The sequence below is a fragment of the Homo sapiens genome, chromosome 11, assembly GCF_000001405.40.
Source record: "Homo sapiens chromosome 11, GRCh38.p14 Primary Assembly".
Classification (NCBI taxonomy): Eukaryota; Metazoa; Chordata; class Mammalia; order Primates; family Hominidae; genus Homo; species Homo sapiens.
The window spans coordinates 75,204,228-75,227,591 of record NC_000011.10 but is presented as its reverse complement, the minus strand read 5'-3'; the positions used below and the strand labels follow the sequence as shown (position 1 = coordinate 75,227,591).

General features: G+C 47.4%; 1 protein-coding gene and 2 long non-coding RNA genes across 11 annotated transcripts in view; 1 reads left to right on the top strand and 2 right to left on the bottom strand.

Annotated features, from left to right (window-relative positions):
* Nucleotides 1–1,947: 1,947 nt before the first annotated feature.
* TPBGL-AS1 (TPBGL antisense RNA 1) lies at nt 1,948–21,554 on the top strand. Of its 4 annotated transcripts, XR_007062780.1 has the most exons (8): nt 1,948–2,253; nt 2,490–2,560; nt 12,059–12,078; nt 12,342–12,383; nt 16,483–16,683; nt 17,185–17,230; nt 19,459–19,664; nt 20,190–21,554. It is a non-coding gene; the product is annotated as a TPBGL antisense RNA 1 (long non-coding RNA). The 4 variants fall into 4 exon arrangements; XR_950308.4 differs by lacking the exon at nt 16,483–16,683 and having other exon boundaries at nt 19,459–21,554; XR_007062781.1 differs by lacking the exon at nt 16,483–16,683 and having other exon boundaries at nt 17,185–19,204; nt 19,459–21,554.
* On the bottom strand, nt 12,913–16,769 carry LOC124902716 (uncharacterized). The gene is made up of 2 exons (XR_007062782.1): nt 16,584–16,769; nt 12,913–13,128 (listed from the first exon to the last, which is right to left on the bottom strand). It is a non-coding gene; the product is annotated as an uncharacterized LOC124902716 (long non-coding RNA).
* The window catches only part of SLCO2B1 (solute carrier organic anion transporter family member 2B1), a 55,443-nt gene continuing 53,121 nt past the window's right edge, over nt 21,043–23,364 (bottom strand). For all 6 annotated transcript variants that reach the window (NM_007256.5, NM_001145212.3, XM_017017157.2 and 3 more), the window contains one exon: nt 21,043–23,192. In NM_007256.5, coding sequence (NP_009187.1) covers nt 23,012–23,192 — 181 coding nt within the window. In that variant the 3' untranslated portion in view covers nt 21,043–23,011. The remainder of the gene's footprint in view (nt 23,193–23,364) is intronic.

Below are 23,364 nucleotides of genomic sequence, written 5' to 3'. Positions count from 1 at the left end.
TAAAATAAGTCAGGCTAATCTCTCATCTCTCTTGCTTTGGGAGAACCAAAATTGCAATAGATCAGGGGTCTGTTGAAGTCTTGAGAATCCTGATTTCAAAAAGGCAATTGGAACATCTCCCAAGGTACTTTTTTTTTTTGAGACAGAGTCTCGCTGTGTCGCCGAGGCTTGAGTGCAATGGTGCGATCGCAAGTCACTGCAACCTCCGACTCCTGGGTTCAAGTGATTCTCCTGCCTCAGCCTCCCAAGTAGCTGGGACTACAGGCGCTTGCCACCACACCCAGCTAATTTTTGTATTTTTAGTAGATACAGGGTTTCACTATGATGGCCAGGCTGGTCTTGAACTCCTGACCTCAGGTGATCCTCCTGCCTCGGCCTCCCAAAGTGCTGGGATTACAGGCGTGAGCCACTGTGCCCAGCCTCCCAAGGTACTTTCATGGCAAGCTACAGTAGGGATCAAATCGTGATACACTAGGGGAATCCCTGGCTGCCTGGACAGCAGGTGGTGGAGAACGGGTAAGTGGATCAATGGCAGCTTAGAGGGAAGACTAGTGCCCTGCTCCGGGCTTGTTCCTCCCTGCTATCTTGCTCAGTCTGATGTATTTTTTCAGGGACTTGGATTAGGCCAAATAAAGCATGCTTATCAAATCTGGGTGGGAGAGTGATTATGTCAGATGGCAGAACTGGGTTTCAAAATGATCTGCATTAACTTGGCCCATAGGTGATGACCATAGGTTCACGTTCATGGAGGTAAATGTCAAGTCCTCATCGGGGCTCAGAGGTTCGGGTGAGGGAGAGAAGAAGGAATTATTGAGCACATACTTCGTGCTGTACCCTAACATAAGATATCTCAGTTAATAGTGAAAACCTTAGGAGGATGTTGTTCTCATTTTATTTTTTTTAATTATAGATTCAGGAGGTACACATGCAATTTGTTAAACAGATATTTTGTGTAATGGTGAGGTTTGGGCTTCTAGTGTATCCATTACCCAAATAGTGAACATTGTACCCAGTAGGTAGTTTTTCAGTCTTCACCCCTTCCACCCTGTTCTCATTTTATAGTGGAAGAAACTGAAAGCCAGAGAAGCTAAGCATTTGCTCAGGTCACATAGTAAGAGATGGAGCTCAGATCAAAGCCAAGGCCCATAAGACTCTTAGGTCCATTCTTCATAAAAAGTTCAGGATGAAGGAAACAGAGTTTAATAGCAGTTTATGTGGAAAGAAAACAAAACCACACATTTATGTGATATTAGTCCTGAATTCATATGCTAAGTCTTTCCTGAGCCTCTCTTCTGGGACCATCCTTGAGCTAGGCTTGGGGTGAAGAGATGAAAACTCACAGCCCCTGAGCAAGTTGAGCTCCTGGTCGGGGGAAGAGCAACCAACACTAGAACAGGTGGATTTGACAGTGCTGGGCATACAGAATACTGTGGGAGCCCAGAGAAAACCTGAACCCTCCAGCAAACTGTAGAAGAGGCAGTGCCTGGCCTGAGGCCCGAGGCTGGTTGGCTTGTCTGGGAGCCCAGGGAGGACATGGATTGTAGGTCCCAGCACGATGACCCAGGCTGGGCCTCACCTCTGCCCCTCAGTGGTGAGGAGCACTGAGGCCCCGGAAGGGGTAGGGCTGAGGGAAGGAGGTTTGCCAACTCTTCACCAGAAATGGAAGAAGAGAGCAGGAGGGGGTGGGGCATGGTGGCTCATGCCTGTAATCCCAGCACTTTGGGAAGCCAAGGTGGGTGGATCACTTGAGATCAGGAGTTCATGACCAGCCTGGCCAACACGGTGAAACCCCATCTCCACTAAAAATACAAAAATTAGCTGGGCATGAGTGCCTGTAATCCAGCTACTTGGGAGGCTGACGCACAAGAATCACTTGAATCCGGGAGGCAGAGATTGCAGTGAGCCGAGATCATGCCACTGCAGTCCAGCCTGGGCGACAGAACAAGACTCTGTCTCAAACAAACAAACACCAGACAGGGAGACAGAGAGAGCAGGAGGGGAGTGGGAGCTCTGGAAGGCATCTGAGAGCCAGGCAGGGACACGCCTCTGTGGACACTGGGAGGTTCTGGGACCTTAGCTCCAGACAGGCCGGTTACTTTGTAACCCCCCACTGTGTCCTGCAGCTGATCCTTCAGGAGAGAAGGGCTAGAGACTGGTGTTCAGGGTCAGTGAGCACATAAACAGATGTCCTGGGAGTCATTTGGGAGAGAAAAAGAGGACATCCCAGGTTTTTGTGCCCACAGGAAAGACAATGTGAGTAACACATACAGAAGTTTCTAAGGTGGGCAATGAGGCCAGGTGGGCTGGAGGCGGGAGGTCAGGAGACAAGGGAGGGGGTTGTTGAGATACTACTGGCGCTGTCAGCGAAGGCCAGGCCATGCTGGGCCTTGCAGGCCTTGAAGATTTTAACCTTTGTTTCAAAGGCAAAGAGAAGCCATTGAAAGCTTTTAAGTAGAAATGTGACATAATTTTATTTGTATTTTGTAAAGATCACTCTCACCACATGATTGAAAGAGCCAAGTATGAGAAGATAAATGAGGAGACGCTTGGAGAAGTACAGGTGAAAGGCAATGGTGCTTGGGCTGGGTGGTGGTGAGGAGGTGGGGAGTGGTGGGTGGGTTTGAGATACTCAGGGCCTGGTGACAGACTGGATACGGGGTGAAGGGGAGGGATGGGCCCAGGGTTTCTGGCCTGTGGATGGTAGAACTGACAGAGGGAAGACCAGGTGTGAGGTGGGCAGAGAGGGTGAACTTAGCCTTGGTCCTGATGAGTTAGGGATGCCAAGACATCCAAGTGGAGACATTGACTGGGCAGTGGGATATTGACGCCTAGAATTCAGGAGCCATGTCAGGACTGGGGGTGCACAGCTGGGATTTGCCAGCACTTAGAGGATAATTGAAACTACAGACCCACCATACCTGTATATTCAAGGCCCTCTTCAGTCCCCTACCTGCTCTGGGAAGCCATTCCTGATGCCTACCCCACTGCAAGGCTAGCTTAGGGCCCCCTTCAGCTCCCTCTGCTTCCCTGTGGGGGTGTGTTGTCAGTTTCTGCCACCTGCCCCCTGCCTGCCCCCAGATGGCGAGCTCCTGAGGGCAGGGACCACATTCATCCCTGCTTCCCCAGAGCCCAGCACAGGCTGTGGCTCAGAGAGGCATTTCAGCAGCTTGAGTGGAGTGGGCTGCCAGAGAGGGAAATGAGCTTCCTGTCCCAGAAGGCATGAGAGCCAGGGCTCTACAGACAGAGGGTGAGAGAGAGCCCTCCATCCAGCAGGTGTCCTCTGGAGTCTTTTCCAGGATCTGAGTCACCTCCCCAAGGGAGGAGGAAGTGTTTTCACCTATCCCCGAGTCCATGGTCACTCTGTGGCCTCCTCCTTCTCCAGAGAGGTTTTTGGAGGCTGTGCTGAGCTCAGCAGAATGCCCTACTCCTGCCACCAGCCTCTTTGGCCCTGGAGCTGCCACCCAAGCATAGATACCTCGCTAGAGTTTAGCAGAAGCTGCTGAGGTGGCTCTGGTCTGGGCTGTTAGGGTTGGCTGCTTGCCCTGCTTAGCCTCCTAGACCTCAGCCTTGGCCTGGGCCCTCCTCCTCCCCGGCTGCCTCTACTTTACCCACTGCATCTCTTACTGCAGCGGCTTAGCTACCTGAGCCAAAGTGGGCCTCAACCTGGAGATTCTAGGGGCTCAGCAGGGAGTGTACTGGGAAGGAAAAGGAGAGGGAGGAGCTTGGTGAAGAAGCTGGGAGGGCAGAGGGAAGGGAAGAGGTTTGGGGAGAGGAGAAAGAGACACAGAAAGCACTGGGCTGGGTGGCCTATGAGGTTACTAGCTCCTCAGTTTTTTGCCCAGGAAAAAACTGAGAAGAGAGGGGGCCTGACTTTCTAGAGGGGCACCAAGAATCCTCCTTGCACTTGGAAGGGTGAGAAAGGCCGAGCAAGGCAGCGGGCTCTGGAGGCCAGGGGAGGTCACGACAGTGCAGGGAAGAAAGGGCTGGGGGCTTGCCACTCAGACAAGAAAGATACAGAAGACACCAGGGAGGGGCCCACAATTCACACAACTGAGCAGCCCTGCCCCATTTGTAGAGGAAGGTGAACCTTGAAGCCTGGGAAATGAGGGATGAAACCAGCAGAGAGGAGGATTCCAGCTACTGGAGCTGAAGTCCTCATAGTGCAGAAGGGCTTGATACCATACACATTGTTACAAGACGTGGGCACACTGGGCTCTTCCCACCCTGGTTCTGAGTGGTCAGCCGGAGATAACCGTGATCACTGTGCCCTCATGCTGGCCACACCACCTCGGATAGTGAATGCTGCAGGAACTGCCAGGCTGTCCCAGAAAACACAGAACTACCTATGCTTCCAACCATGATAGGATAGGACTATGAGAACTTGAAAGGACCAAGGCACGTCAGTACCATCACTAGGGTAATATCTTATTTATGCTTGTTTATTTTTCTTTTTCTTTCTTTCTTTTTTTTTTCTCGAGACAAGATTCTGGCTCTGTCGCCCAGGCTGGAATGCAGTGGCGAGATCTCAGCTCACTGTAACCTCCGCCTCCTGGGCTCGAGCCATCTTCCCACTTCAGCCTCCCGAGTAGCTGGGATTACAGGCGTTCATTACTACATCTGGCTAATTTTTGTATTTTGTACAGAGACAGAGTTTTACCACGTTGGTCAGACTGGTCTCGAACTCCTGGACTCAGGCAACTCACCCACTTCGGCCTCCCAAAGTGCTGAAATTACAGGTGTGAATCAACATGCCCGGCCTATGCTTGTTTTTAAAATAAAATGTATTTTACTTTTTATTTTTTTGGTGTGAAAATTTGAAAAACAGAAGTTGAAAGAAAAATAATTATGCTCATAGTCCCACCATCTAGAGACTTTTTTTGACGGACATCTTTCCAGTCTTTTTTCTATGCATATTTTCTTCATAATTATTATAACACTGCTATAATCCTTAAAACGGTTTTACAGCTGGGCACAGTGGCTCACGCCTATAACGTTAGCACTTTGGGAAGCCATGGCTGGAGGATTGCTTGAGCCCAGGAGTTCAAGATGGGCCTGGGCAACATAATAAGACCTTATTTCCACAGGAAATAAATAAAAATTAGGCCGGGCGCGGTGGCTCATGCCTGTAATCCCAGCACTTTGGGAGGCTGAGGTGGGCAGATTGCCTGAGCTCAGGAGTTCGCAACCAGCTTGGGCAACACGGTGAAACCCCGTCTCTACTAAAATAAAAAAAACTAGTCGGGCATAGCGGCAGGTGCCTGTAGTCCCAGCTACCTGGGAGGCTGAGGTAGGAGAATTGCTTGAACCCTGGGAGGCGGAGATTGCAGTGAGCCAAGATTGCACCACTACACTCCAGCCTGGGCAACAGAGCGAGACTCTGTTTCAAAAAATATATATGTATATATATTAGCCGGGCATGGTGGCATGTTCCTGTAGTCCCACCTACTTGGGAGGCTGAGGTAGGAGGGTCACTTGAGCCTGGGAGGTCAAGGCTGCAGTGGGTCGTGATCACACCACTGCACTCCAGCCTGGGTGACAATGTGAGACTCTGTCGCAAAAAATAACCCAAACAAACAAACAAAAAACTGTTTTTTAGCTGGGGTGTGGTGGCATGGGCCTGTAGTCCCAGCTACTTGGGAGGCTGAGGTGGGAGGATCACTTGAGCCCAGGAGTTTAAGGCTGAAGAGAGCCATGATTGCACCACTCACTCCAGCTTGGGTGGCAGAGTGAGATCCTGTCTCAAAACAAACAAACAAACAAAAAAACAAAAAAACAGTCTTACGTTATTTTTATTTATGATTATTAAGGTAAAGTATGCTCTTTTTTTTTACAGGAAAGTACAGAAAAACATTAGAAAGCTAGAAAAATATATTACTCATGATCCCATCAATCATTGTGTGAAGATATTGGAGTATTTATTTCCAGTAATTTTTTTTTGTGCCCCATACTTTTTTTTTAATGTGCACAAGTGCTTTGTATTTACAATTTGGGAGGCAGCATAATGTGTTTATGAATAACAACAACAAAACCCACCAGTTTTTGAGTCCTGGCTTCATCACCTACTAGCTGAGTGACTTTGGGAAATTTATTTCACCTTTATTAACCTCAGTTTCCTCAGCTGTAGAATGGGACCAAGCATCATCTAGCTGATAGAGTTGCCTTGAAAATTTGTATATATACTATGCAGCCATAAAAAAGAACAAGATGTCCTTTGCGGGAACATGGATGGAACTGGAGGCCATCATTCTTAACGAACTAACATAGGAACAGAAAACCAACTACCACACGTTCTCACTTATAAGTGGGAGCTAAATGATGAGAACGCATGAATGCATAAAGGGGAACAACACACACTGCAGCCTATTGGAGGATGGAGGGTGGGAGGAGGGAGAGGATCAGGAAAAATAACTAATGGGTACTAGGCTCAATACCTGGGTGATGAAGTAATCTGTACAACAAACCCCCATGACACAAGTTTACCTATGTAACAAACCTGCACATGTAGCCCTGAACTTAAAAGTAAAAAATAAATAAATAAATAAAAATAAAAATAAATTGTGTATATAAAAACTGCAGGCAAGGCAGATGCCTTGGAGCCCTATACAGTGCTGGGCCTTTACTGTAAAAAAAAACAAAATCAAAAACGAACAAAAAAACCTCCTGGCAACACATTCAGCACTTAGTGGGTCCTCAATAAAGGTGCAGTGGACATTTGTCACATTTTTTTTTTTTGCTGCATAGGACTAATCTGTTGCTTTGTATTTTGAGTAAATATCCCACTAGGTGAGCCTTTATGGAAACTAGGATCCCATCTCCCCCTTCAAAGTCAAACGTGGCCAGATACTCTTTCCCTTCCACTCCCTGGCAATTTGGCCGACAGGGTGCCTGGTTCAGGATTTGGTGTGAGAATTGGTGAGGCTGGGAGGAAGCTTCATTAGAACTCATTGTGTTTGTGTCATGCCACAGTCTGGGTATGCAGTGGGGTGATGTTCAGAGGCCAAGATCATGCTGTTGGAGACACTGGAATCAGCTGTTCCGATGTTATGAACTTGACTATGAATTCAGCTGTTCATTCATCTCCAGCTTTCTCATCCATTCTGAGCTGCCTGGTGGAACTTTCAATAGGTTTTTTCTGCTTTGTTTAACCTCAGTCAGTTTCTGTTGCTTGCACCACAAAGGTTAGTTCTTATCTATATATATTTATTTATTTATTTATTTATTTTGTAGAGACAGGGTCTCACTGTGTTGCCTAGGTTGGTCTCAAATTCCTGGGCTCAAGCAATCCTCCTGCCTTGGCCTCCCAAAGTGTTGGGATTACAGGCATGAATCACCATGCCCAGCCAAAGTTAGTTCTTAAATCTTTCCAATAATAAAGTAAATTTGAAGCGTTAGCTTCAATTTCCAGCCCAAGTTTTCATGCAGAAAGGTCCTGGGGGATATGGTAGAAGTGCCATTCTCTGTGCTGTCCTTCTGGACAAAGAACAGGGTGACTCTCAGATCTTTGCCTCCCTGCTTGGCCCAGAGCCAGCACGGAAAGGGGAGGTTCTTAGAGAGGGCTGCTGATGGAAAGAGTAAGGGAGGGAAGGGAGAGAGTACAAAGATTTCCATGTGATGAAGAAAGCTCCTGAAGGCAGCTTATGTGTGGTACATTTGAATTCCTAAGGCTCTTGGGCCTCTACCCAATGAATCCTGATTCCAGCAGCCTGAAACAGTTCCAACTCATTTTCCCTTTCTGATCTCACATTCTCCCATGTTTACCACGGATGGCACTGCCCAAGATAGAAATCCTGAGTGCCATCCAGGACACTTCCCTTGATCTCTCTTCCCCAGCATCCAGCAGTCCTGGTCAGTTCACCCCCTAAACACCTCTCAATCCATGTCTTGCCCCTATCCTCAGGGTTCCAGTTTATCCTCTCATCTGTCTGCATTTCTTCCCAAGGCCCTGGATTACCATAAGACGTATCCTTGGGAGGTCAGGTAGTTGTCAGGGGCAGGCCCCCAGAGGTCAGCTCCCCTCTGAGCAGCAAGACTGCTTGTCTGGATATCTCAGTCCTTAGGCAAGGGGCTGTAGGCAGATCTAGCCAACAATTGGAGCCCCAGAAATACCATGTCTGGCCTGAATCCCACTTGGAGCCAAGTTGGTACTAACGAGCTTAAAAAGAGGGAATATTCATGTGTGCTTCTAGAGCTCCCATGGGTGCAGGGCCTGAGTCAGGTTCATCTCTGCTCCCCCACTCTCACCCCACCCCAGTTCCAGCATGGGGCATGGCTTGCCGTTAGTGCTCAGAAAGTGTGGATTGACAGTCTGGGATTATTGCCTCAATCCTTTCTTGGCATCCCATCAAAAGTGAGACCTAAGCCCTCCTACCTCTCTTACCTTGCACCTCCCATCCCTACCTCACTCTCCAGGCTCCAACCACAAGACTCGTTCGTAGTTCTCTGAATGCATGCCAACCCACCTCACCCACCAAGCCATTGTACATGCTTTTCCCTCCACCCAAAGCCCTCTCTCAACCAGGGCAGCCTGATGAACTCCCACAAATCCATCCTTCCTTTAAGGCTCAGGGAGTGCAAGCACTGCCTCCTCTGGGAAGCCTGTTGAAACTGGCCTTGGGAGGCCTCCCTCCCTTGTGCTGTCTCCATGCCTGCCCATGCAGAACTCTGTTTGTCACTTGGCACGGAGTGTTGTGAGTATGTGTCCCCCCACGAAGCAGTATACCTGAAAGAACCGGGTTTGTTTCCTTCTGTACCTCCAGGGCCTAGCTGGTACCTAGCCCGGAAGGAATGCCAGGACCTGGTAGTTCCTTTTCACTCATACCCACTTTTTGGAGGCAGATGATGCAGCTAGAGAGGTTGCAGGGCCTTGAATGCCAGGCTAAGGAAAGGAGGCTTGGCTAGATTTGCATTGTTCAATGATACTGGTGGCTGGGACACCCTCATTTGGGGACTGGACAGTGATTTTTCCATTTTGGACCTCTTCTAGCCCAGAGGACAGGGATTAGTTCCTTAGCAGGAAGATACAAGATGAGCCTGGGCTCATGACTCCCTCCTCTCCTGGACTCCCTTTCTCCTTCTGCATTCACTCTCAAGTCCCAGAGTCCCTCTCTAAAGGCCTGGGGTCTGGAATCCACCCCCACTACTCAAGGACCAAGTCCAAACCTCAATCCCCAGTTATGTAAGTGAACTATCTGCTGTCCCCAACCAGCGCCAACCAGATCTCCTCCTCCTCCTCCTAATTGATTTAATCTTCTCATACCAGAGAGTGGGGCCGGGTTTGGGGAGATGGTGTTGATCAGAAGCCAACACATCAGTGACGTAGACTCATTAATTACAGAGAATCTGGGTCATGGATTGGCTCTCAGTGGCTCTGATCCTCCTCCTCCTCCCTAGTCATTTGTGTCTATGAAAGGACATTTTCAGCAACTCCTCATTCCTCAAGCCCCTGTCCTACATATAGAGAAAGACAAGGGTCCCTAAGACCCTGTCTGTCTCTTAGATCCCCCTAACCCTTAGCTATGAACAGAACTTCCCTGCATTCCAGTTCTGAGCACAGGACATAGATAAATCTAATTCATTGAAAAGTGAAGAGATGAACAAATTATTTAACTTTAGGCTGCGAAGAGACCTTAATTTACTTTCCACACCAAGCATGCCTCTACTTTGGAGCTTCCTTGATAGAGGATGCCCAGGCCCTATTTGTACACCCTCAGGAATAGGGAGCTCACTGCCCTGGGATAGTCCTTCCCTTATGTGATGACTCCACCTAGGAGAAAGTCCTTTTTCACATGGGGCTGGGACAGCAGCCTGGTGACTTCCCCTAGGACCCAGCTCTGCTGCTGAGGACATAGGGCATGCCCCAGGACAGCCAGCCAGATCCTGGGACACAGTGGTTGCCACTACCGAGTTGGCTGTTCTCCAGGCTGAACACTTATGGTTCTTTCAGTGGTTCTTCATTTGGTGGACTTAATAGATTACTTCCTACTGTATCTCCTATGTGCACATCTTAGTTCATTTTTGTGCTACTATAACAGAATACCTGAGACTAGGCAATTTATAAGGAACAGAGATTTATTTCTTACACTTCTGGAAGTCTAAGATTGAGGGGCCCACATCTGGTGAGGGCCTTTGTGCAGTGTGATCCCACAGCAAAGGGGAGAAGGGCAAGAGAGGGTGTGTGTGTGAGACAGAAAGAGAGATAGAGAGAGAAAGAGAGAGAGAGAGTGAGCAAGAGAGGGGTTGCTTTTATAACAAACCCACTCTTTCAATAATAAACCTATTTCCATGATAGCCATATTCATTCATTCATGAGGGCAGAGCCCTTATGAACTAATCCCCTCTTAAAGGCCCCACCTCTCAACACTGTTGCATTGGAAATTCAGTTTCTAACACATGAACTTTGGGGGACACCATAGCAATGCACAAGCTATGGATGGCATCATCTCTTCAGAGGTACAGAGTGGAGCACAGACCCCAGGGAAGTGTGAACAGCTCAGGGCAGGATAGAATCATCACTCTTTTTGGTCTTGTTATTAGATTTCCATTGATACAGCCTGAAATCACCTGAGATCTTTGGGGGTGTTAACACACTTTGACTCAGCTTAAGCACAGAGTCAACTAAACCCCATAGTAATTTTTCTGGCACCAGCAATGGAAAGTTTCTATGAAAAAGATATTAGGAACATCTCCATGTCCCCCCACTAAATAATTCTTCTCTCCACCTACTCTGACATTTATCTTTCCATACAATGATGCAATTATTCATCTACTTGTTTGCCCACCCATATGCAACTACCCAACCATATATAATGCAGATTTGTTACACAGACAAATATGTGCCATGGTGGTTTGTTGCAACCTATCAACCCATCACCTAGGTATTATACACCATATGCATTAGCTATTTATCTTGATGTTCTCTGTTCCCCCACCCCCTGACAGGTCCCAGTGTGTGTTGTTCCCCTCCCTGTGTCCATGTGTTCTCATTGTCCAGCTCCCACTTATAAGTGAGAACATGCATTAACCACTATATATTAACCCATACATTTACCAGCCCAGCTAACCACCCACATTCCTTTCCATTCATCTGTCCATAGAGCACTCATTCACCTCTCCAACTACCTACTCATCCACAAACCCACTTACATTTAATCAATTTTCTACCTTCCTAACCAATGATATACTTCCCTATCTGTTTATCCATCCATTCGCCCACCCACTCACTCATCCACATATTCATGCCTTCATCTACCCTCTTTCCCAGTCACCCATACATCTGTATTCATCATCCATCCATCCTTCCATCCATTTTTTTTTTTTTTTTGAGACAGAGTTTCGCTCTTGTTGCCCAAGTTGGAGTGCAATGGTGTGATCTTGGCTCACTGCAACCTCCACCTCCCAGGTTTGAGTGATTCTCCTGCTTCAGCCTCTCAAGTAGCTGGGATTACAGGCATGTGCCATCACGTCTGGCTAATTTTTTGTATTTTTAGTAGAGACGGGGTTTCATCATGTTGGCCAGGCTGGTCTTGAGCTCCTGAACTCAGGTGATCCACCCACCACGGCCTCCCACAGTGCTGTGATTACAGACATGAGCCATCATGCCCAGCCCATCTATCCATTTTTTACTGAGATTCTATGGTATGTCAAATCTTGTGTTGAGTATTTTGTGCTCTCTCTCTCTCTCTCCTTCCTTTTCTTAGGGGAAGGAATAGGAGCAGATAAGGCAAACGGTGTGAAATACTATAAAACAGGAACACAGAAAATGCATTGGAGATTTGGAGGAGGGAGTGGCTTCTGGATGAGGTTATGGATGCCTTCCTGTCAGGAGAGACATTTGGTTTGGGCCTTGATAAAACAGCAGTATTTGGATATACACAGGTACATTGGAAGTCATTCCAAGTAGAAGAAGCAAAACATCAAAGACCTGGTGCCTAGAGAGCAGCATTCATACCTTATGTTTTATATCCCTCCTCAAGTGCCTAGTAGAGAGCTGGGCACACGTCAGCAACTTAATACATACTTGCTAATTCATATTGTCTCTCTCTCTCTCCTTCTCCGACAGGGGCACCACCAACACTTAAGGTAAGAGTTCACTCTTTCTTTTTAAAAGATTCAAGAGTTGCCTTACTAGATGGCCTTGGGCAAGTCACAAAACCTTTCTGGGATTCTCTGAGTGTGGGGTTGATTTTCTGTCTCTATCAGGTGATCCTTTCCCCATAATCTTAATTATTTATGCCATGCTTTCTGTTCTCTTCAGAGAGATTAGCATTTACACATATGTTAAATGTTATTTTCTAAATGCTAACACCAATTAATGCAATCCTATCTGTTTTTAACTTCCTTAGCCTCCATCTTCAGGCAAGAAAGTCTGTGATATGAATGAAGGGGTAAGTTTGTGGAAATAGCACTGGGGTAGAAGCCAGGAGCCATGAATTAAAGTCTGCTTTGCCATAAGCTTGCTGTGTGACCTTGGGCAAGTTCCTTTCCCTCTCTGTTTAAAGATTTTCAACCATAGCACATTAGCACTGAACTCAGCATCTGATATTATCTAGACCAATATACATCTTGCAAATGGAAAAACAGGCTCAGAAAGAAAGGGCACATGACCTGCCTAGATCATATCTGGATTAGTGGCAAAGCTAGGACTAAAGTAAACTTCCTGACTTCCAGTTTAGGGGTTTCTCTACCCAACCACCACATGTCAGCCTTCATTCACAGCCTCTGTATATCTCAGAGACAGCTTCCTCTCCCACTTTCATTCCCTAGGAAGAAACGTGTGAATCTTCCAAGTGTTCTATTTTACTGATTCATGCCTGGGTGGGAGCTGGGCAGGCAGTATTTAAGAGCAAGCATTCCCAGCCTGACGGAGTTAATTATGTTCATCAGGAAGGGAGAAGAGAAAGGAACAAGGCGCTCTGGTTATCTACTGGGCTTTAATCAAATTGAGAAGAGAGGAAATCCATCACCCAGAGGCTAAGGGAGGTGGAGAGCTTGGCTTCCGCTGGCTCCGCGTCCTGTAATGGGTTGGGCGCTGTCCAAGGTGCTGACATCTTCACTTATTGCTCCGAGTTGCTGGGAGGAGCTGGGAGAGGCCCCCTCCTGGCCAAGGGACAGCAGCTCTTAGAATAGGATCTAGGAGAGACCAAGAGAGGGTCTGGACATGTTGGGAGAGGCTCGAGTTTCTACTCTGCCTCCTGAACCTTTCCTTTTCCATATATTTGTCTATCTGCTTTAAGAAAAATATTTTTTCCTATGACCAGAGTCCTGGGCTGGGATAGAGGGAGGGAATACACAGAGAAGGCAGAGCCCTAGACTCCTTGCTGTCAGGGAGAGGGTCCCCAGGGTGGAGGCACAGTCCTTAAGGGACTTCCATATCTTTTTTTTTCCATATCTTTTTTTTTTTTTTTTTTTTTTTAAGACTGAGTCTTGCTCTGTCGCCGGACTGGAGTGCAGTGGCGCGATCTTGGCTCACTGCAACCTCTGCATCCTGTGTTTAAGTGATTCCCCTGCCTCAGCCTCCCAAGTAGCTGGGACTACAGGCACGCACCACCACGCCTGGCTAATTTTTTGTATTTTAGTAGAGACGGGGTTTCAACATGTTGGCCACGATGATCTCGATCTCCTTACATCAGGTGATCTGCCTGCCTCAGCCTCCCAAAGCGCTGGGATTACAGGCCTGAGCCACTGCGCCCAGCTGAGGACTTCCATATCTTAAAGGGGAGGTGTGGCTTCTGCTTTTGTGAAATCGTTAGTCCAATGGCAGAGACATATACTTGCCTTTGGGAATTTGTTGATCTGATAGAGGAACATCACTGTGCCTCTAACTCTACTCAAGTATGATACAAGGGAACATTGGCCCATGTCTACATGGAGCCTCCAGTCTGATGGAGAAGACATTGTCTTCCTCTGTAAAATTCCCAGTCTGGTTGAGGAGACAAACTCTTGATTCAGGGGGAAATCTCACATATAATCAGGGAGACAGGATAGACAGACAAGTTACAGGTCTGTACAATAACCAACCAAGGAACTCAGATCTTCACATTTCACACTCAAATTGAGATTGTTGGTGTTAGAGATTTAGTGTCAACCATGGAAGGCTTCCTGGAAGAGGTACATTTGAGTTGGGTTAACAGGAAAGCAAGAGACATGTGTCTCTAGACCTTAGGCCACATGAGAACAATAACCATGTCTTCCCATTTTTTATATCACCTTTGAAATAAGTATAAGCCTGGCCACAGTGAAGACTCTTGTTTAATAAACAGTAGCCAGCAGGTAGAGAGTAATGTACCTCTTTGGTAGGCTGGGAGACAGCAGAGTGTGGATGGGATCGGAATTGGGGAGGAGGGTTGGTTGGAATGGAGAGCCTGAGGCTGGGGGTGGGAGGATGTTGGTGGAATGACAGGGTGGGCAGAAGGAAAAGCCCAATGTGTGTCCAGGCCACTGAACCACAGCATTTGGAGCAACTCCCTTGTATTTCTGGAGTTGATGAGAGACACTTTATTGACTTGAATTGTTAAAGCTAAAGACTATTAAATTATAAAATAAGAGGCTTCTCAGCTTCTAGAGCCACACAATTATGGAAAGTTCTAGTATTAAAATCATAGCACCTTAGCAGGGAAGAATTACAGAAATTATAGAATGGTAAAATATTAGAGCCAGAGAGCCAAAACTCCATATTAGACAATTTTAAAATCCAAGAATCTCAGTGTTAAAAAGGAAAAAAAGAACCCAATAATTTATTGATCCTGTCTATTTGCACTGGTCATGATGTTAGGAGTAATCTCATATGTTATCCCATTTAATTTCTACCACAAGTCTTATGCCATTCAGTCCCATACCTGCTCAAACCTTTGTCAGTAATACTGCGTTATCAAACACAAGCTTGCATAACCTTTATGACGTGGGAGTCATCACATCTGGGCATAGCTCTGCCGCCTGCCAAATTGTGCTAGAAAATTCTCCCTTATATAAGTTGCACTCTATCTCCCTATCATGCTCCCACACTGGTCCAGTTCATGTCCTCTGAGCTACCCCGAGTAAGTCTAATCTCCTGCTCACGTGACAGCTTTTCAGATGTCTAAAGACAGCCCTTATTTCTTTTTTCTCTAGGCTAAGCTGGCTTGTTGATCATGTAGCTAGAAATGGGACAGCAAATGAAAGAATATTTGAGCTTAAGAGGCCCTTAGAGGTCACCTTGTCTGGATACTTCCTTTTACTGCTAGGCAATATGGCTTTATAGTCAGGATCCTGGACCTCAAGTTTCTGGGCCTCAGTCTCCTTATCCCTAAAATAAAGATAATAGTGATACTGACATAACAGAGGTGTTGTGAAGATTGAATGAGATGATGCAAGGGAAGCTCTTAGAAGAGCACTGGGCACACAGTAAACAGCCAATAAATATTAGCTGTAATCATTGGAGGCCCAGGGGAGAAGGGACTTGCTCAAGATCACACAGCAACTCAGAGGCAGAGCTGGGGTTAGACCAAGGACGCCTGCCTCCCAGCCTGGGCCCTTTCCCATTCCACTCTTCCCTCTGTCTTCCTCAGAAAAAGAAAATAGTCCCAGAGGGAACCAGGATACTTTTCTCACTGAATCATTTAGGATGCAAGGAAGAGGTCACCTGCTTTAGAGTGGCTTAAACTTTTTATTTTTTAATGAGGCCAGAAGAAGTTGGAATGAGGATTGGTCTGCTGATTCAACAATGTCTTTGATGACCCAGGCATTTCCCATTCTGAGCCTCGAGGGTGACTACCCCTGTGATTGCAAGATGACTGAGTGCCATCAGGAACCATGTCCTCCCAAGCAGGGAGAAAGGGCATGGTAGCAAAAAGGGTATTCTCCCTTCACATCATTCTCTTATCCAGGAGAGAAGCTTTCCCAGCAGACTATCCCCAAACATGTCATTGACTAAGACGAGGTCACATGTCTACTCTTGGACCACTTTCTGGCAAAGGGGAAGGCATTTCCATTGCTGCCTTGGATCATCCCTGTGGCTGAGCACCTTGCTACCAGAATGAAGAAGAGAGCATTTGCCATGGGAAGGCAACCAATACAACCTGCCATACTCATCTTCTGTTTTCTCTCTGGATTGCCCTCCTACCTCCTCTCCATCTCCGCCAGGAAGTCTTCCCTGGTTGCCAGGGCCTTGTCCGGCACACCCTCTTCTAATGTAATTGAACATTGTTTAATTCAAGTTACATTTCACTTTGCCAAAGATTTCTCACCTTATCATGTCCAGATCTTATCTTCTCAACCAGGCTGTGATAGGTCATTGCAAGAGTTATAGCAGCGACTAATGAATAAGTACCTACTGTGTGTCAGGCACTGGTCTGAGTGCTTGTTGTAGCCAGCTTCCAAATGGCTCCCAATGATCCATACCCCCTGGTATTCATGCCTTTTTGTATTCCCCTCCCACATTATACCAGGGTTTGTCTACATGACCAAGAGAATATGGCAAAAGTTACGGTATGTTTCTTCCAATATTAGATCATAAAAGGCACATGGAATCAAAGCTTTTGGTCAACTGCCAACAAGGTACAGAGGCCCAACAGCAATCATCGAATGAACTTGGAAGTGGATCCTCTCACCCCAGTTGAGCCTTCTGATGACTGCAGCCCTGGCTGATGCTTGACTACAACTTCATCAGAAATCCTCATGAAGATCCAGCACCTTCCAGTTAGCCCATCTGTGGGTTCTTGACCCTCAGAAATTCTATGAGATAATAAATATTTGTTGTTTTAAGTTGCTAAACTTTGGGAAAATTTATTTTTTGGTTTTGGGGGGTTTTTTGAGGCAGGGCCTTGCTCTGTTACCCAGACTGGAATGCAGTAGTACAATCACTGCTCACTGCAATCTTGACTTCCTGGGCTCAAGCAATCCTCCCACCTAAACCTTACAAGTAGCTGAAACTACAGGTGTGGGTGCTACCACCCTTGGCTAAGTTTCTTTTTATTATTATTATTATTTTTTGGAGAGATGGGGCCTCACTGTGTTGCCCAGGCTGGTCTCAAACTCTGGGGCTCAAGTGATCCTCCTGCCTCAGTCTCCCAAATGGCTGGGATCACAGGTTTGAGCCACTGTGTCAGCCAGAAAATTTATTACTCAGTAGTAGATTACTATATTGCTACTTTATCACATTAAATCCTCTCAACGATTCTGATAGGTGAAGCTTATTTATCCCTTTTACAGATGAGAAAACCAATGCTCCGATGAGTGCAGTGACTTCCCATGCCTGGTAAGTGGCAGAGCTTGGATTGACCTTCCTGTCTGTTGGATTCCAAAGCAGAGGGACCTGGGTTCTGTTTTCCCAGCTGGAATGTCCCCAGCTGCAGGATGAAGGCTGAGGAAATGGGGACATAAAAAGGAAACCTCTTTCTCTGATGTGTTTTCTCTCCTCCCCCCTTTTTTCATCCCAACCACATTAGTTAGCACTTACTACATCTATTGTACATATGTGATTCAGGGACAAGTAGGTTTATTAGCAACAACATGGGAGCCTTAGGAGGGGGATACCTGGGCTCTTGAGTGACCTTGGGCAAGTTTCTGCACTTTTCTGGGCCTCAGTTTCTTTACCTACTACATGGCAATAATAATCCCTTTCCTGCCTTCTTCACCAGGAAACCATGAGGACGGGGTGTAAAGGGACTGTGTAAAATGTGAAATGTAGTGAACACTAAAAGGTGTGTTTGGACTAAGGAGCACCCCTGACCTAGGGCTCAGACCTGTACAGCCACCTCTGTACAGAGGTGAGGGCTCCCTCTCCTCTCTCACCTGGGGCTAGGTTCGGGAGGTGGACAACACTGAGTGGCATTGAGAGCATCAACCCACTTTCTTCAGCCTCACCCTCTCCATGCCTTCTCTCTTAGGCCATGCTGCAGCCCTGCTAAACTAGTGGAAATACCCCAAGCCTGCCAGGAGGTTTCTGTCTACTTTGTCTGTGCAGTTTCTTCTGCCTTGACACCCTTCCCAACTTCTCTTCCTGGTGCATTCCCACTCGTCTTTCAAGACTGACCTTAGATATCCCACTTCTAGGATGCCTCTCCTGACCTGGCTGTAGTCCTCCTACTTCTCTTGATTGTTGCACCTGCCCCCTGCCTGAGCTCTTGGCCTTCAGCTTCTCTTTTCCACTCAAAGCCCCCATGGTGCAACCAGCGGCCTTTCCAAAATGCAAATCTTGTCATGTCACTCCCTGCTTAAAATAACTGGCCAATGGAATAATCCATCAATCAGTGCTTCAGGGGTTCCTCCTTGCCCTCAGGGAAGCATCCACACCTTCAGCTGGGTCTCCATGCTTGGTCCCTGCTGGTCTTTCCAGCCTCTGCTCTCTTCTGTCTCCTGATTGCCCTGCACATGCAGTGCCCTCCAGCCACATTGCTCTTGTCACTGTATCTCAGACACACCTCTCTCTATCTTTGCTCGTCCTGTTGTTTTTCCTGCCCATTTCCACCTTGTCCACTTGAGGAAGTCCTGCCTAATCCTTAACACCAGGTCTGATATAACCTCTTGGAAGCCTTCCCTATTGGCCCCAGGAAGAGTCCTTGGCTTCCTCTTCTTCCCTCTCCTGTATGACTACTCATGCTTTTGTTACTGTTTGTCGTCTGTTTACACTGAGAGTTTCCTGAGTAGAGACTGTATCTGACACATGGTTGTGTCCCCAGCAATGCCAGGAGAAGGGCACAGAGCAGACATGTAGGATATGTGTTGCTCATGTGAGTGGCTGAATGAATGAAGGAAGGAAGGGTGAATGAATCCAACCTTGAACCATCACTTCTTGGCCAGCCCTAGAACTGCTGTTTCCCAGGGTAAGCCCATTTGATAGCCAAAGGGGAAGTAGAAGGGAGGGACTGCTCTAGGAGGGAGAAAGAAAATCAATAAAAATGTAAATCTGGTTGAGAAAAGCTGTCCCAAGCTGGCTGTGGGGAGAGATAAGACTGGGCTGGCTGAGCCCTGGCTGACAGTGGAGGAGAGATTGGGGACAACGGAGCTGTGGCCAGGGTAGGGCAAAGGAGGTGTGTTCCTCCCTCTGTTGTCACTTCCCCCTCCGACTCTGATGCTCTATGTGTTTATGAAATTTTTTCAGGGACAGAAGGGGAAGGGAGCTTACAAATCCTGATCATCAGGTGTGGTGCCTGTGAGCATGTACATGATCTTACCCGGTCCTCACAGCTTCTGGGAGATAGGAGCTAGGCATGCTCAACCTCACTTGCAGGTGAGCAAACTGAGGTGCAGAGAGGTTAAATCATTTGTTCATCGTCACACTGTAATAAGTGGCAGAGTCAAGATTTGATCCCAAGTCTGACTCTCTCCACAACTCTATAATCTTTTCACTCCATTAAGGGCTTTTGACTGGGGACCTGGGATGCTTAGGAGGTCTACACCCAGGCATCATATGGTCTTCAACCTCTGAAATCATATGCACAATTGTGTATATGTCTCTGTGTGTGTGTTTTGTTTTATATTTAGTGGAGAGTCTATGCCTTTGATTGGATCCCCAGAGGTGGTTTTCACTTGCCCCCCATTGCCTATACCATGTTGCCTTCCTGGAGTTGGTGGCCTTTGAGCTGGGCCTGGAAGATTGGGTAGGACTTTATGAAGTGGGGATGGAGAGACAAGCTGTGCGATGGGGATGAAGAAGATAACCCAGGTCAGAGGGAACAGCATAAGCAAAGGTATGTGAAGGGGAAAGAATTCAACACCTCCAGGCAATGGTGAGGATGTCGCTGAGTTCTCTTTCACTTATCTGCATGTCAGTCATGACCCCTGGATGCCAGCTCCTGATGGGTCATCTGCCTACCCTAGAACTTCCCAGCATCTAGCATCCCAGACCTTCCCAGAGTCTACAAGAAAAGAAACCTAGGCATCAGGATGTCAGTTCTGGTCTGAGTCCTGTCCTCTGCTGACTTTACACCAGCACAATCTAGCAGGGAGACTTAATGTCTTCTCCTCCCAGCTTCCTGGTACAGTGTAAGAAAGTAAGCTTGCAGATGCAAATGCTTGTGGCTCTTCATTGACCAGAGGCTATATTAGGGGAGAGGACTTCCCTGGGACCCCCACAGGGCCTGGAAAACCCCTCTGGCCCTGACTTGCTCCACCCCTTGGCTCTTGACCCATTTCTCTCTTGGGTAACTCCTGAGTCTCCTCACCATGTCCAGTTTGGAAGACTTTAGGCACAAGGACCTCGTCTTTTCCTTCAGATCTTGGCTCAACCAAGAGGCGGACTCACCGTGATGTGAATGCAGCTTGAGCATCCAGGACTCTCCCCAGATCCAGGGAGGGCCTCAGCGATGTGTTCACGTTGTCATATTTTTATAAAATTTGCAAAGGTAAGATACTTTAACCACAATCAAAATTACTATTTTCTTCCCACTCCAACTTCCCTTGTGTTTCAATTTTCCTTTATGTGGGATAATTGGAGTGGCCATGGGCACTTCTGGGATCTGACCAAGGGGAAGCTGAGTGGGGGACTGATTTGAGTTGGGTTCACTGGGATATGTTTATGTGGTTTTCTGAAACAGAGGATATATTAATATTTATGTGGTTCTCTGTGTATAGATAAATCATTGCTAGTAATCTCTGTGTAGAGAATAGCTTCTAGGAATTCTACCCACTGCCCAGCTCACTTGGCATGGTGATATTAAGTTGCCATATGCAGAGGTCATATCGTGATATGAATGTGTGTCATGGCACCCAGCCCAGGAAGTATATGGGCAGTAGACAAGAAACAGGAGAAACCAGGTTTGAAATGTACAGAGCCAGAAGCTAGTCTGTGGAAAATTCTTCTAATCATCAGGGGGAGAAAATGTGTCTCAGAGGTTAAGCAGGGCAGTTAATAAAAGTATTACGCATTTTGGGGGGATTGTGTGATGTATCTGTTTTGATTTCTTTTCTCATTATAGGTAAATATAGGTACCTTGTACCTAATTTTATATTCATAATTTTGTATATTTTTCTTAAAGAGGGCTCCTCAAATTATAAAACCTTCAGTTCCCACAAGGTCTACACATCCAACCTTGGCTCCATCATTTATTTTCTGTGTGATCTTGGGGAAGTCACTTGTGCTTTCTGAGCCAGTTTCCTCTTCTATAAAATGTGAATGACAATTTGGACAGGTGAGGATTCAGAAATCCTCATGACCTTATTCCATTTTTGAAACCATTAGTAGACGAAGACACTCAAACAAAAATTAGACCAGAATATAAAGATTGGAAAAGATGTAATATACAAGCAATAATGGTGAGCAATGAATCCAGTAAAACCTAAATCTAAGTTAATGGAAATGATGTGGTTGTTGCAAACCTCTAATGCAGTTTATGAAGAAAGAATTTTTGTAATAGAAGAGACATTATGCAAGAACAAATTTAATAATAAGCTGTATCTATAATTCCAGACTTTTTTTCCCTGCAAAACCTGGGAAACAAGAGGGATGAAGGAATATAAACATCCTAAAAGCCTCATATTGTTGAAGGAGACTTTGAAATTCTTGGCGTTGATAGATACATGCTCAGATATTTATTAAACATTTACAGATACCAACCAGCAAAATAAAAAGGGAATTGGAACTTCTGTACCTCCCTTTTCTTTTATCATGTGGGAAAGTCTCAAAGCCCTGGCACTGGGAGCTGCTCAGAAGGCAAGGGCCACATGTGCCCCCAGCTTCCCCCCACCCCCAGCACAGGGCCAGGAAGCCACTGCTGGTGGCTCCCTGTCTGCTGCCTCCCGAGCAGTAGGTCCCAGCGAGGTGGGGTGGTAATAGGTTGGGCTGGGAGCAGATTAGCAAACCCTCTCCTCCCCGCAAGGAAATAACCAGGCCAGATAAGACTAGCCATAAAACAAAACAAGGGCTGATGTAGAAAAGGATTGGATCATAAGACACGAGCAAGCCATAGCATCACTCATTACACAGAGCTGAGCTTTACTGCTCCCAGCACTACAGTCCTGGGCCTGACACCAGCCCAGGCATCGGAGAACCAGGTGCCACCCCCAAAAAACAGTGTCACAGAACTAAACATTATCCACACTGCCCCAGGTGACACAGACCCAGGCACCCAGGAGAAAATAGAGAAATTAGGATCCTAGTCACAAAGGTCACAGGGACTTTGGTGGCCCCTGGTCACATGTGTGAAATCTTGGCAATGTGTAGGAATCAGTGAGTGCGCGCTGAGTGTGTGTTTGTCTGAAATTAGAAAATACCCAAGTGTGGGCCTGAGTCTCCCTCCCTACCCCAGGGCCCAGACTTGCCCACCCAGGGCCCTAAGGCAGGTGTTGGGCCTCACCCTCAACCGTGGCTCCCTGAGGGCAAGGGCTAGAATTTCCTGAGATGGAGAGTGAGTCTCCCCGCTTCAGCTAAGGATTCCTGGGGCCCCCACACAGGCCTCTTGAAGGCCCTGCCAAGTCTGGGTGTCCCACTCCTGAGGCCAGCTCCGTCCTCCCTGTGGGAGTCTACCCAGGGTCCAGCTCAGTGCTCTGCCTCCAGGGGGCGCCAAAGGGACACTTCTTAAAGGCTGCTGGAGTTGGGGAGGAGAGCTGAGTGTACCCTGACCGCACAGATGGTCATAGCTGAACGAGCCTGAAGGCTGGCAAGTTCATTCCTACCTGACAGGAGATGGCTAAGGCTCAAAGAAGGTGATCCAGGCGAGTGCAGACCTGGGCTGGGGCCCAGCATGGAGGGCAGCCTGGCCCACTATGGCTCACTTTGCTATCCTAGGGCCCCAGGGAAAGGTATACTTCTTTCCACCCAGGAAAGCCTGGCCCCAGGACAGCTGGCTGGCTGGGGGAAGGAGGAAGAAGACCCTCTTGCTCCAGAAATGGCCAACACAGCAAATGCCCAAACAACTCTTTGGTTCAGACTAGCAAGCAAAGGCTGAGAGAGGATCAATGTCTTGCCTGAAGTCACACAGCAATTTAGTGGAGGAGCCAGAATGGAACACAGGGCTCTTGACACCCAATCTTGGGCAAAGGACTCAGAGGAGGTACTGCTGTGGCTGCTACTCTTGGCCAGGTGGGGCCCCAAGACAGCTCACACTCGGGAATCCTCTGGCTTCTTCCCTGGCCCCGACACTAGCAATTGCTGCTCTACGGCAGGGCTGGATCTGCTCTCTTTGGTCCTTGCCTCTTTGTCCTGCTGCCTCAGGACAGCCAAAACTAAGGCGAAGCAGATCACAGAACCTGTTTTGAAGAAGAACTGGAGGCCGATGAACCTGGGGAAAGAATGGGGACCCTTGAACTCAAGAGCTGCCAGGCCAGGGCATGGACGTCAGCAGTCATCACTCATTGTGAAATCAGAGATACTGAGGCCTCAGGGAGACATTGACCTCTGCTGTGGCTCTTCCCTGGAGGAGGGGGAGAGGCTCTGCAGAGGAGCCCTGGGTG